The 14472-nt window shown below is 41.3% G+C and overlaps 1 long non-coding RNA gene across 2 annotated transcripts in view; it reads right to left on the bottom strand.

Annotated features, from left to right (window-relative positions):
- Positions 1 to 7121: 7121 nt before the first annotated feature.
- The window catches only part of LOC105373953 (uncharacterized), a 44371-nt gene continuing 37020 nt past the window's right edge, over positions 7122 to 14472 (bottom strand). For both annotated transcript variants that reach the window (XR_924035.3, XR_924034.3), the window contains 2 exons: positions 7592 to 7707; positions 7122 to 7368 (listed from right to left, as the gene is read on the bottom strand). This is a non-coding gene — a long non-coding RNA (uncharacterized LOC105373953). The remainder of the gene's footprint in view (positions 7369 to 7591; positions 7708 to 14472) is intronic.

Here is a 14472-nt window from a genome sequence, read left to right as displayed (position 1 = left end):
AAGGTTAAAAATCACAAAAATCTCGATTGTGTGTTTCTCTTTAAAACTGGCAAAGTTCAGTAGACACAGAGCCACGTTCCCCCACAGCCACAGTTGTTGATGAGTGAGACATGAGCTGTTCATTCCCTGCAGTCCCCACCACCCTCTACTGTTTCCCAGCACCGCGTATTCAGTTGCCAAGGATCATCATTATGGGCCGTTTCTCTTGCAGTAAAGGGGGAAGAAAAGATTTCCTATATCCTTCTTGTGCCCTATACAAAATGCAAACATAAAAAAGCTAGAAGACTATAGGTTCCAAGAAGAACAATAAAAGTAAACCAACTGAGGTGTAAAAGTGAAAAAGAATTTGGTATGTTTACTTTACAAACAAAGCATATCTGTGTAGAAGGAATTCAGTTAAAACATTGTCATTAATATAACACAAATACAGCAATAAGGTCTATGATCCATATAAGGAAGAGATGCATGGTGGAAAATTTAACAAACTATAAAAAAGAACACTTCCATATATTTTGTTTTTTAAAAAGAAAATTCAATAACTAATGTGACTGAGAAATACACTTATGATTGAAATGTAAAACAATTGCCCAGACATAAGGGCAAGTTCATAAAAGGGAGTCTTGTGAGTGCAGTAGAAATCGTGTGTTCTGAATAGAGAGAAGTATTTGGAAATGTGAACCTAACTAGAAACCTGCTGTTCCGTCTGTGTAGACACAGCTAAGAATGCATAGGACAAGTTATAAGAAAAAGTGAATCATTTGTAGCATTATTTTTTGTAATGATGAGAGTCCAGATGTAAATAATGCTCTCCAATAAGCCCTGTGTGTTCAGGTGTCAGTGAGAATATTTGTAAATACTTTTGAATCTGTCGTGCAAGGAAGACCAGATCTTCAAGCAGTGACTTGGTTTGAAATATTGAGATAAGGCTTAAAGTTTAATGCAGACTAGTCAAAATTTACATATGTGACCACGTTAGGCTCCTCCAATAATTGCTTCAAATGTTGGGTAACTAGCCAATCCAACAAGTTCAATACAAAATGACAATACTTTCTCCAACAAGGGACTTGGGTTGTCCATCGTGGCATGTCCTAGAAAATGCTTTGTGCTAAACAGAGAAAGCAGACATGTGCCATGGACATGTAGTTAACTCGGCAAATTTCACGCATGCCTGTGCTGAGCCCACTGGCCACTCGACATCAGGATTGTGGAATTAGATGTGCAATGTCCCTGTTGGCTGTGCTACGGGAAAGCAGGTGCTTTCGCCTTGGCATGGTGCCAAAAAGATGTTTTAAATTTAAAAGGTAACATTTTTCAGTGAAAAAATTTCTGTCCTTAACAGATAATTTGGGATCAAGACTCAGCTTTTTCATAAATTCAACAATCCATCTCACACTTGGAATCTTTTTCCTCTGCTCAGGCATTAGCCACTTGTTACACAATTTTGTGATTCAGTTCCTGTATTGCAAAATTGTCTTTGAAAAACTCACTTAGAATAATATGGCTCATGTATTAGTCCATTCTTGCACTGCTATAAAAAATACCTAAGACTGGGTAATTTACAAAGAAAAGAGGTTTAATTGGCTCACGATTCTGCAGGCTGCACAGGGAGAGTGGCTGGGGAGGCCTCAGGAAACTTATATCATGGAGGAAGGTGAAGAGGAAGCAGGTATGTCCTCACATGGCCAAACCAAGAGGAAGAAGCGAGAGGCGGGAGGTGCCACACACTTTTAAACAGCCAAATCTTACAAGCACCCAGTCACTATCATAAGAGCAGCACTGAGGGAAAAATCCGCCCCATGATCTAATCACCTCCCACCAGGCTCCACCTCCAACACTGGGAAGTACAATTGGACATGAGATTTGGGAACTCTGATGACCCATTTTCCTTTGCTCTACCTGAATGATAGCCTCCAAATTGTGGCATTGAAAGTTGAAGTCCAAAAAAGATTTTCTGATTTAAAACTTTATGAAAACAACCTGACATTGTTCAGTTTGCCTTCCTCTTTATACGGCAGTGGGAATGAAAAGCTATGAATAGAAGTGATTGAACTGTTCCTCCATTTTAACATAGAAAACTAAAGGATACCTTAGAGTCCTAAAGGATGGCCTTGAAATACCAGAGTTCTGCCATTACATTGGCAGAAAGCCATCCTGCAAAGGTTACCCCTGTGTTCGGAAGGCCCACACGTGTGATCAGCAATGCTGAACACAAGGTCTGTTGTTGATAATTCAGAATAGTGGATACCCTGCACCCCATTTCCCCTAATGGTAACGTCTCACCTTAGAATAGTACAATTGTTAAAATTAATGAGCCGCATTATTATTAATTAAAGTTCACACTTTATTCAGAGTTCCCCAGTCTTTGCCTAATGTCCTTTTTCTGTTCTAGGATCCTGCATGACATTGAGCTATCATGCTTCCATGAGATCTTCTGAGCTATGGCAACATCTCACCTTCCTTGTCTGTTTTCTTTTGATTCTTTTTGATGGCTTTGTCAGTTTTGAGGAGTATTGGTTAGGTATTTTGTAGAGTGTCCTTTAATTGGGGTTTGTCTGGAGTTTTTCTCTTGATTAGACTGGGATTATGTGTTTTTGGGAGGAAGGCCACAGACTTAAGGTGCCATCCTCATCACATCATGTCAAAGGTACATACTGTCAACATGACTTACTACTGCTGACCTTGATCGTCTGGCTGAGGTCGTGTTTGTCTACTGTAAAGTGACTCTTCCCCATCCCTGACCCCCCTGCCATTCTGTCCCCTTTGGAAAGAAGTCACTATCTGCAGCCAGCACTTTTAGAGTGGGGATGTAGGCTTCACCTTCTGGAGGATGAAGCATCTACTGAAATTGTTTGGAATTCTTTATATAGGAGATTTGCCTCTCCTGTCTCATTTATTTTGATTCAGTGATTTATTTGTGTCAGTATGGACACATGATATTTATTTTGCACTTTGGGTTATAATCCCATATTATGTGATTTTTGTTGCTCGGATTCTTCAGCTTGTACAGTTGGGAGCTCTTACAGTTGGCTCCTGTGCCTTTTGACAGAACCCCATTGTTCATTTGTTTTTACTTTTTAAAATTTTTTGAGCACTACCTTACTTTAGGCCACTACAAGATGTTCCAGGCTTATTTTGTGTATTTTTGCCAAATTGGCCTGACATGGTTAGGCTTTGTGTCCCCAACCAAATCTCATCTTGAATTTTAATCCCCAGGCGTTGAAGTAGAGACCTGGTGGGAGGGGATTGCATCATAGAGGTGGTTTCTCCCATGCTGTTCTTGTGATAGTGAATGAGCTCTCATGACAGCTGATGGTTTTATAAGGCAGTTTACCCTGCTCTTGCTAGCTGTCTCTTTCCTGCCGCCACGTGAAGAAGATCTTTGCTTCCCCTTTGCCTTCTGCCATGATTGTAAGTTTCCTGAGGCCTGCCCAGCCATGTGGAACTGCAAGTCAATTAAACCTCTTTCCTTTATAAACTACCCAGTCTTGGGTATTTCTTTATAGCAATGTGAGAATGGACTAATGCACAGCCATTTCTCTAAGGAGTTCTGGTTCCTTTTATTGGAAAGTGATATTAGAAACCAAGATCTGGGCACTAGGTGTATGGGTTACACTTTAAAATTATGATTTTAAATTTCTATCTAATGTTCTTTACCAGGTATCATAATTTATTTAAACATGTTGAGTCTTTTCCATTTTTTGCTATTATGAACTATGACCAATGCATCCCATAGGCAGGTGTAATGGAGAAATTTTAGAAGGATCGACTCCAATCCTTTGTTTCACAATAATAACCTCTAAAAGGTGTTGTTCAGTCACCTTCAGTCATAGAAACCAGTGTGTGAAAATGGACATTGGATCCTCCTGGCTATAAATGGGCTCTGCAGCTCCACCCATTGCTCTCCACCATAAGCAGAATGGCCACCCACTATGGGGTGGGAGGGAGATTACAAGCAGGCTCTCAGCTGTGCTCTGGTCTGCAGCTCCCGCAGGGCACCTCGTCACCTTTGTTTTTTCTCCCCTGATCATAGGATAGAGTCACATTTCCTCATTTGGGAGCAAGGAACTCATTAGTTATCCTCGAGGTCTCTGGGCACCCAGAGCTTGCCTCCCAACTTTGCCTCACATTCACTTTTAAATATTTTATTTAATGCTGTCCTGAAAGATCCAACTGTGTAGGCCTCCATTTATAGAGTCCCATGTTATGGTACCAGTGGCAGGATTGTGGGGTGGGAAAACCAACCAACCAACCAACCAACCAACCAACCAACCGGCAACCAAACAACCATCAGATTAAACTGAGTTTTGGTCTCTGACAGACTTGAGGTGGACGTTACAGTTTTATAGCTCTATCTTTCTTGGAACTGATCCATTCTTGCAGAGCTGGGAATTTTTAGTAATGCATATGAAAATAATTTATATGTTACAAACATGACTTTTTTTTCTGCTTTCCTTTTTTCTTTTACTCCCTGTCTTTTTTTTTTTTTTTTTTTTTTTTACTTTCTCTTCCTTAGCTTATCAGAGGACATAGAATGAGAAGCATGTTTCTCTAGGGAATTCTCAGACTTTGGAGATAAGATGTCTCAAAGGTCTGTTATGGCTGTGGAAGTCTGGCTCAAGTCTTTTCTGTCTAAATCCCTGCTAATAAAATCACCCCTAGCAAAGGCAACCCTGAGACCTGGTTATAAGGAATACCTGCAAGAATCATTAAAAAAAAGTTTCTAGAGATCTGGAGTTATTATACCAGACATTAAAATTTGACCCCATTTTTCCTTTTCTCTTTCTTTCTTTTTAGGTTGTGACATTAATGATGCTTATAGAAATAATAAGTTAATCTTTTAACCTTTTGGTTTTCTACAAGATATGGAGATTCACAGTTGTCTGCTAGGTGGGCTTATGATGATAAATAAGACAATAAATGCAGTGCCAACACATGGCATGGCATATAGATTTTTTCAACTTTTCTTTTTATAGGCAATAGTGTTTTTAAAAGATTTTTAAAATTTTAATTTCTTAGTTGACAAATAATACTTGTGCATATTCACGGGGGTACATCATGATTTTTAGGTGCATGTAATGTATAGTGATCAAATCAGGGTAATTAGCATATACATCATATCAAACATTTATAAGCTCATTGTGTTGATAACATTTGATATCCTCCTTCTAGCTATTTGAAACTGTATAATATTTTATTGTTAACTATAGCTATCCTACAGTGGTATAGACCACTAGAACTTATTCCTCCTGTCTAGCTTTAATTTTTTCATCCTTTAACAACTCTAAAAAAATGCAAGTTGGAAAGTTTGAAAAATCAACATCGAATAGACACCACTCTGCTTGCATGATTACAATCTGAAACATTCTTCGTTGATTTACATATTTGGTTGCTGGGTGTCTTTTGCTCTGCTTGCATTCCTAAAATAGCCTCATAAAATAGTAGGCCAAAGCAAGACTCCGTCTTACAGGATGCATTACATATTTTGAATCAGAGACCATGATGGCCAGAGCCCATGGGTCCAAGAATTAATCGCCATCCTAGCAACCTGGGATTCTGAGGGCTTGGGGATCTCAGACAGCTGTGCAGAAGCACTTGCCCCCCCATCAAGGGACACAGCAATGACTCTACTGAACTAGAAGCAGAGACTCCGCATGGCCATTGTGGGGTCCTAGAGGCCACTGGACAAACAGTCACAAAAGGAATGAGTCTATAGCTCGGGTGGTTGATCCTGGTGACCAAGGGGAAACTGGGTTTCTGCTGCGCAGCAGACGGAGGGAGGAGACTGTCAGGGGCAATGAGTGCCCCTGAGTACTTGCACGTAAAAACTAACCAACAGTAAAGTTTAGTAGAAAACTAGAGAAACTAAAGAAAAGGCAGGCTGATCAAGGACATAACCTCCTTGTAAAGAATTGGAGCAGCCACGGTCTGGCTTAGGGCAAGGGGAATATGGAAGAGCCAGAGAAGGAAGCCACACATCCTAACATGGCTCAATGCCAAATTACAGAAACAAGGATTATAGAAGCTCTGCAAATGTTCTATTTGTTTATGACAAGTATTTTTTTCTACATGATAACCATGTTCATCGTTTTTCCTATTTTTATTTCATGTACATGTTGTTAGAAATTCATTTTATAATATATGCAGAAAACATGAGTTAGACTACGATTGAATTTGAGAAGTGATTAATATAGCCCATCACCAATATAATGACCTTGAGAACTATGGGGCTCCTGATTTGAGGGAAAGGCTAAGAATTTCTTCATTTTTGTCCTCTTCAGTTTGGGGAAATGTCTTTCCTTCGATTTGAAGAAAAGAGGCCCATTTCTAGCAAGTTCTGCTGTTGCAACACCACAGCACTTGCAAAAATTCCCTGCCACCCACTGAGCTATGGCTGTGCCCTCTCGGCATGTCTGAATCTTTTCAGCCCTGGAAGCGAGGGCCCTTCCACGAGCATCCATCTCAGCTCCAGGGACGGAGAGTGGCGGCTCCCTCTATCTGCTGCTTTGTATTCTTTAGAGTTCACTTCTCACTAGCCAATCCCTTGTTACTCCAGTTCTACATTTTACTTATTAATTCTTTATACTCAACTTTCCCCGTTTAAGTTACTGTGTGGTTTCTACTTCCTGCTTGAACTGCAACTGATACAGACCATAATCATCTGAGGAGAAAAACATACATACAAGCTTAAAAATTATAAAAATTAACACTGCCTTGAATAAACAACACTACTCACAATATTGCAAGGTGAAACACAATCTTCATTGCTTTATACCCTTGATTCCTGGGTGTATTTTGTTCTGCTGCTAATCCTAAAAGAGCTTCATAAGATATTACTTAAAGGCAGTTAGGGTGCCCCATTCTCCCCGGTGTTGATCAGCTTAATGCATAAAATACCTCTGTTTCAGGAAAACGTAGTCAACCAGATCCCTGAAATGCTTGCCAGCCTAAGCCGGCTCAAGCTGTAAACCATCTGGGCCTCAGGACAGTTTAAAATGGGGATGTGGAGGGTGGAATGTTTCTGAATCGAATGCGTGTGTGTTTGTGAATTCCTTATGTCTCATTTTCTGACCTCAAAGTGTAATCTTAAATGAAAAAAACAAAAAACAAAAAAACCCCAGAACTTCAAAAGAAAATTGCTTTTTAATTTCTTGGTGGAATGGCAGGAAGAGCAGAGTCCGCACAGCTGTACCGGATGCAGGATCGGAAAATCACTTCTCTTCTTGATATCAGACTGGTCAGCACAGCAGCCAGCCCTGCCAAGGTTCAGGTCTTCCCGCTCTGGGGCAGCCAGACCGGGTATAGCTGTCTGATTTTGATTTCTGAGGGTTGTTTTTTTTCCTCAGTAAGCCTGGCTTCACTTTCCTCCATCTGTTGAATAAAATATTATCTGGATTACTTAAAAAAATTTTTTTAAGGTAGCTGCATTTCTTGTTGAAGAAACAGATTTTGAATTTATGTGCCTGAATCACCCTTGAGACCTTTCCACACCCTCGTGATCAGCTGAAAGCCCCTTCTACATCTGCGCATGTGGATCTGGGGCCAGAAAGCACTTAGATGTGTGCATCCTGTGTCTGTTCAGGAGCTTGTGTACCTGGGGAACTCACTGAGAGTAAAGAGCTGTCACCCTCACAGGTGATGTCCACGAAGCTGCAAATCCATGTGCTTTTCTGTAGCATTGTCATTCTTCCAAAGGAGCCTGGAATTTGCCTGGAAAAAAAGAGGGTGTGGTGTGCAAGGAGGAAAATATTATTTTCACTGGTGACTAACTCACCGTGTGATCTTGGGACGCTGCCTCCCTGCTCTGGGCCCAGCTTCCACAACAGTGAAGGGCTGGAGTTCCTTCCAGCTAAAGAATGGTACTGCCTGAAGCTTCCTCCTACATTTCTCTTGAAGAACCCACTCTAGAGGGGCTGTGGTAGCAGCAAGCTGTGGATTTCCCCTGCCTAGTGTATGCATAGCTACTCAGTGTATAAAAACACTGCCTTCTATCTGGCCGTTAGAATAACGATAACCACGTTTTTCAAAGGGTGATCCACAGAATGCAAGTCCCACAAAACAGGCTGAAAAAAATGGAGGGTTTTGTGATCAAGGCTTGGGAGGTGAAGCTGGCAGGAGGTACCAGCCGGTCTGGGAAAGGAGGGCAGTTGGCTGCTCAGAAGTGAATCTAGCCTGGGCTGGGAGGGAGACGGTGGAAGTGGGTCACTGCCATCCCCACGTGTCCACTGGGCATTCAGAGTGTTTGCCAGAAGACCCTCCTGTGCCTCATTCCTCAGCCTCTAAGTGGACATCTTGGAAGGGCACCAGCCTTGTAAGGAGATGGCAAGACCAAACCCCTGGGGAACCCCTCACAATCTGGCCTGATCCTGCCATTTTCCAAAAAAGAAACAGGTTACACAAGGTTGTTGGTGGAGTTGTGTCCTGATTCCTGGTCACGCGGGGCAAGGCTGCCTCTCCAATCCCTCACCTTAGTCTTACTCCCACTTACTCTGCCTCTGGTCACAGCTTCTTGCAAGCTCTAGATCCAAACAAATGGGGAAAACCAAAGGTGCTTGGAGACGTGTGGTCCAGTGGGAATGGTTTGGTTCATGTCAGCAAAGCACCTGTCACATGGAGGCTCCATGCCTAGGCTTTGGGCTTGTTAGCTGAGTGACCAGGGGCCATCACTTGCCTTCTCCAATCTTAGCCTTGTCTTTGTAAAATGGTGATCATACTCCCTTTCTCGTCTTATGAAGATTAATGAAGACAGTGCACATGGGACTGAATGAATGACCTTAAAAAGCTGTTTATAACTAACAATAACACTTGAACGTTGATTGATAGACTTAACTACTGTGTACGGAACACTCACTTAAGACAAGAGGGACAGAGCAGTGCACAAGGAGGATGGAAAACTCACCCACAAAATTCTCACATCCTAGTGACACAAGCTACAAAATGAAGATATTCAAGATCCATGAACGATGGGCATGATTTCTAAAGGTTTTTCAGAGGCTACAAACTGGCTCTAGAACTAAAATTGAGGATCACAGAATGCTGGAACCCTCACTATCCATTTGTGACTGTATGGGCGTCTTTCCTAGTGGGTTACATGCTTACCTCTTAAAATTCACAAGGATGGGTAGAGAGGTTTTTTCAGATGGAAAAACATTCTGAACTCCTTTGTGTGCAGTCTACTCAGTATTATATTTTATCATACAAGAACCTGCTGGGTTTTTTGTTTGGACATTTAGAAACATAAACCGACATTTAAGGCCAATTTAGATTTAAACTAAATCTAAGAATTTTATTCTTATACTTTCTGGTGCTCCTGGTCTAATGAATAGTTTTGGATGTGGGAGGAAAAGACATCCCTGCATTGTTAACAAAAGAGACACAACAGACAAATACCAAAGTGACTCACCAGCACACCGCAAATGTGAGTGGCCAGCTTCCCCCACTCCATCTGGGATTGTCAGGGGCTTTGACAACATTCAGCACTTTATGATAACTTCATATATGGGCTAATCTTTCCATTAAAAAAATGGACTCAAGAATGCAATTGGTTTGAAATTTCTTTGGGAGAAAAAAGCCTACACATCTTGCTTGGTGTTTGGACCTTAGAACTAAGAGCTATTTTCTGGCCTTAGTGATTCCTGGGAATCTTTTTGTAAAAATGACATGGCAACCTCTGCTTAAACACATAACATTTATACATTATTCATCCTGAACCAAGTCATGGCTGACTTGCTTTAAAAAAATAATAAGTGTAATGGTGGATACCTTGGAAACAAATAAACAAGATATCTATCCATTAAAAAAAAACTAAATTAGGATAACAGAATAAATTGTTTCCAGTACATTTAGTTCTTGAGAAGCAGAGTACTAGTACTTGACATTTGATTGTAACAATCAATGAGCTGTTGAAATGACTATTTAAGACAGTATATTCCCAAAGATTACCTTTCATTCAAGGGAGGCTATTTTTGGTGTGAGTTTCCAGTGTAGTAGGCTCAAGGATTGTTTACTCTCTTCTAGTGGTTTGTGCCCAGTGAGAACTTCGGTGATGTCTGTGGGTTTCATTTCCTAGAAGGAACACCCCTAAGGAATTCTGCCTAGTCCCACGTAGATTTTTTTTTTCTTGAACTATTTAATCATCCCAGTCAATTTGTAATTTGGGGAAAAATAAAGGAATTTGAGCTATTATTCAGAATTGTGTTGCTTAATTTTTGGTTTGCTGGTAATTTAAATGGTGATTTAGATAAACAGAATTCCATGATGAAACTTATCCAGAGGACAGGGAAATAATGATTATAGCTAACATCTGTGGATCACTTAACAAGTAGCAAGCTTGTTCTGTACTTCCCCACTAAATTCTCATGACAACCCTATGACTTGGAGACCCAACTTTTCTCTGGTTACAGTGCCCTTAGGATCTCAGGAAATTTTCCCTGTGGCCCCAGGTCAAAAGAAATACCAGTTTTCAGTAGTTAGGTCCAACCAACCCAAGAGTTGCAGTATTGCAATAGACATCATGATTATGTCAAAGCTTCATGCAGTATCTGATAGACATCTCCATGTTTCCTCCTGGAGATTTAAAATGTGCATTGGTGCCCTTGTGAGTTTGTTGTGGCATCTTGGGGTGCCTTGGCACACAGCTTGGGAACCATGGCCTCATGAGGTAAGTCTTATCAATATCCCAGTTTGACATATGGGAAAACTGAGTATAAGAAGGTCTAGGTACTCAGTCAAGATTACCCAGCTGGCAAGAAGGGATGGAGCAGGGAGTCAAACCTCCGGTGGGTGATTCCAGAATGCACCCTTCAGCCTCTGTGCTCCTCACCCCCAAGCCTGTTACTATGGGGAGAATTTCAGGATTCCAAAGCCTGAATGGCATAAGTGGAAAGAAGAATTTGGGATGCATATCAAGGGAGTCTTGCAAAAAGGTGATCTAGAACTAATTCATTCATTTTTCTTTCCCTTTTTTCCACTCATTTATTCATTTCATTCATTCAAAAAGCACATGTTGCCAGGCACTGAGCCATGCCCCATGGAGCTCAGTCTACTGGGGAAGATGGAGAGAGATGACTGATCAGAGCTGGGATGGAGTGTTCACCAGGTGCGTAGAACACAAAGCAGGCTCTGTCTTGGGGCAGGGGGCAGAGGGGCATGTAGGTTTATGAGCAGCAAGGACAGAACCAGTCATACCAAGCAAAGCCAGAAGAGAACAGACCATCTGCCTGGAAAAATGTGACACAGCCCTGCCAAGGCTGTACTTGTATTTCACGACCAAACTACCCGTGCCCTGCTGATTCATTCACATTGTCTCACCTTCTCAGACGGCTACAATTACACACTCATTAAATTCAAACTTGCATGATATGCATAGTCTGCAAGAGATACAATTCCTTTAATACGATGGTGATGGAATTCATACTTGACTCCATATGATATTTAAAAATAGAAATTCAATGCCTTAGCAACTTTTACTTATGTTTATGTGTGTGTATTTTTCCCTTTTAAAACCAGTAAGTCATGTACAGCTCCACCCTTTGATCAAATAATGCATGACTTTTCCTTGTTGCCAGAATCACATTTTCCTCCTCCAAGGCTATATTTCACAAATGCAGCATTCAGCTGGCATTCATTGAGCACCTACTTGCAAGGTGACTCAGAAACTCATTTCTCCACTGAAGTCTCAGTCTGGTGAAGGAGAACGAAAAGGACCTACAGATTCAGGGCACCTGCTAGAGGGTATGGATTTGAGCAGGGTCTTTAGGAATAAATTAGGGCAGGAAGCAGAAGAGGGAGCAGGATCCAGCCAGGAGGAGCACCGTGTGCAAGTTCTAGGGCCTGAGGTAGCACAATCCTCAAGCAAACCATAGCCACCAGGTCCTGCAGCAGCAAGCAGCTGGGGATGGCTGGAATGGAGGAGCCAGCTAGGGAGTGTTTGGAGATGAGGCTGAGGAAGGCAGGGATGCAATTATCAGGAGCTGGGTTCCTTTGGTGGGAAATTGGCATTTTTTGAAGCCACTGAAGGATTTCAGCAAATGAGGGTGGTAATCTTGGTGACCTAGTCCCTCAAATGAGCCAGATATGCAAAGTCAGACCTGAGTATAAATTGTACCATTTAAACTAATTTTTTATACCCCTTGCTATTCTCCGTTTTCGATAAACAAATATTGACTAGGCTTTGATTGTATATCAGGTGCCATGTGGGAACCATCTCTGAGGACAGTCTTCTTTCTGATCAGCAAGGCTCGAGGGTCGCTAATGATAATCAAAAGAGTCCCACTTGTCCTGCTCTCCCTCTGCATCCACTTCTACCACACTGATAAGTAGAAAGAAAGAAAAGTCAACAACCTCAGGATGCTGGCGACGTCATGCAACCCCTTGATGAGTTTTTCCAAGCTGAAGACAGTGAGTTCTGTTTGCCTCAGTTGACAGGAATGGAGCCATCATCTCACATAACTACATGTCCCTGTCCTTTGGCTTAAAAGAAAAGTTAGTCTGTTGTGTGTATTTTCCAACATTTAACAGGGCATAAGAACGTTTTCCTATTTCCTAAGAAAGGCCCAGAGACTATCTCTTCATGCTGCCAGACTCGGGTGGATATGCACTTCTGCTCTCTGACACAGTGCTGACCTGCCCTTTTTCCTTGATATTATCCCATTCAAAGTCCAGGTGAGATAACTGTGAGGTAACTGTGTGTGTGTGTGTATGTGTGTGTGTTTGTGTGCATTAGAGAGTCTGTGTTAGAGAGAAAAAACATTCTAGGGATATTTATTTCCTACTTTGGGTATACACCACACTGCTTCATTTCTTTGCTCTAATTGCTCTGGTTCTGGGCATTGGGAATTCTTTAGGTTGACTCCTGTGCTCTTTTGACATATTCCCATCAATATGATTCTTCCTTATTTTTGAGCATTTTCTTATTTCTGGCACTACAAGATGCTCCAGGCTTGTCTTGTATAATTTCTTGCCAGTCCTGGAATCATCCATTTCTCTAAGGAGTCTTAGTACCTTTCACTAGAGTACCTTTCACTTAGTATTCTACACTAAGATCTGAGTACTAGGCGTGCTGATTGCTACCCTGGGTGTCATTTCTTTTAGGTCCTCTCAGCTGACACAGCAAGGACATATATGCGTGCATGCTAATCTATGTAAGTATACCTATCAATAAATAGTTCCATATGTAAATATCTATACTAAGATAACATGTGTTCATATTGATGTCTCCAACTCTAGTCTGTTACCACGGGCATCACTGTTGTCTCTCTTCCTTGCTTAACTGTGCATTCCCACTCCAACAGTGAGATATCTTGTTCCTGCCATTTGCCATCCATTTACTTAATTGTTCAGTTTTAATATACATGTATAGCAGTATTAGAATTGTTAACCTGTGTTTCTTGGGAAACAACTTTATCAACTAGAGCAGTGGTCCCCAACCTTTTTGGCACCTGGGACCAGTTTCATGCAAGATAACTTTTCCACGAACCAGGGGAGAGGGGATCATTTCAGGATGATTCAAGTGCATCACATGTATTTTTATTATTGTTACAGTGTAATATGTAATGAAATAATTATACAACACACCATAATGTGGAATTAATGGAAGGCCTGAGCTTGTTTTCCTGCAACTAACGGTCCCATCTTGGGGAGAAAGTGACAGATAATCAGGCATTAGATTCTCATAGAGTGCACAACCTAGAACCCTTGCATGGACAGTTCGTGGTAGGGTTCCTGTTTCTATAAGAATCTAATGCACTGCTGATCTGACTGGAGGCAGAGCTTAGGCGGAAATGTGTGCAATGGAGAGCAGCTGTAAATACAGATGAAACTTCACTTGCTCACCTGCTGCTCACCTTCTGCTGTGAACCCCGGTTCCTAACAGGCCATGGACCATTACTGGTCCAGGGCCTGGGGTCTGGGGACCCTTGAAGTAGAGTACAGTCTTATATAAGGTTCCTTTTACCTTTAGTCTTATGTACTCTACTCATTTCCAAAGTTACTTAGGTCAGCACCTTTTGACCTACCACCTTCAGTGAGGTTGTTTCATACATTAGCAATGCATTTAGATTTTTTTGGTCTGTCGGCATTTCTTTCTGAGATTTCTCAACCTCCTAAATACTTTTTAAAAATTTATGTACATTAAAACTCACTTTTTATGCTGTAAAATTTATGGATTTTTACAAATGCATCATACCGTAAAACCACCACTACTGTATTATACAAAATAGTATTACTGCCCTAAACATTCCCTGTGCTTCACTTATTCATTCTTTCCTCCTCCTCCTTCTCCTCCCTTGGTAATTACTGATCATTTTACTGTGTTGATAGTTTTGCCTTTTCTATAATGTCCATCATGATGGTTAATGTCATGTGTCAACTTAACTGGACCACAGGGTTCCCAGACATTTAGTCCAACATTATTCTGGGTGTGTCTGTGAGGGTGTTTCAGGATGAGATTATCTTCTTTTTTATTTTTTGGGTGGT

The sequence above is a fragment of the Homo sapiens genome, chromosome 2, assembly GCF_000001405.40.
Source record: "Homo sapiens chromosome 2, GRCh38.p14 Primary Assembly".
Lineage (NCBI taxonomy): Eukaryota > Metazoa > Chordata > Mammalia > Primates > Hominidae > Homo > Homo sapiens.
Note: the sequence above shows the minus strand (reverse complement) of the source record. Positions and strands in the feature narration are given on the sequence as shown.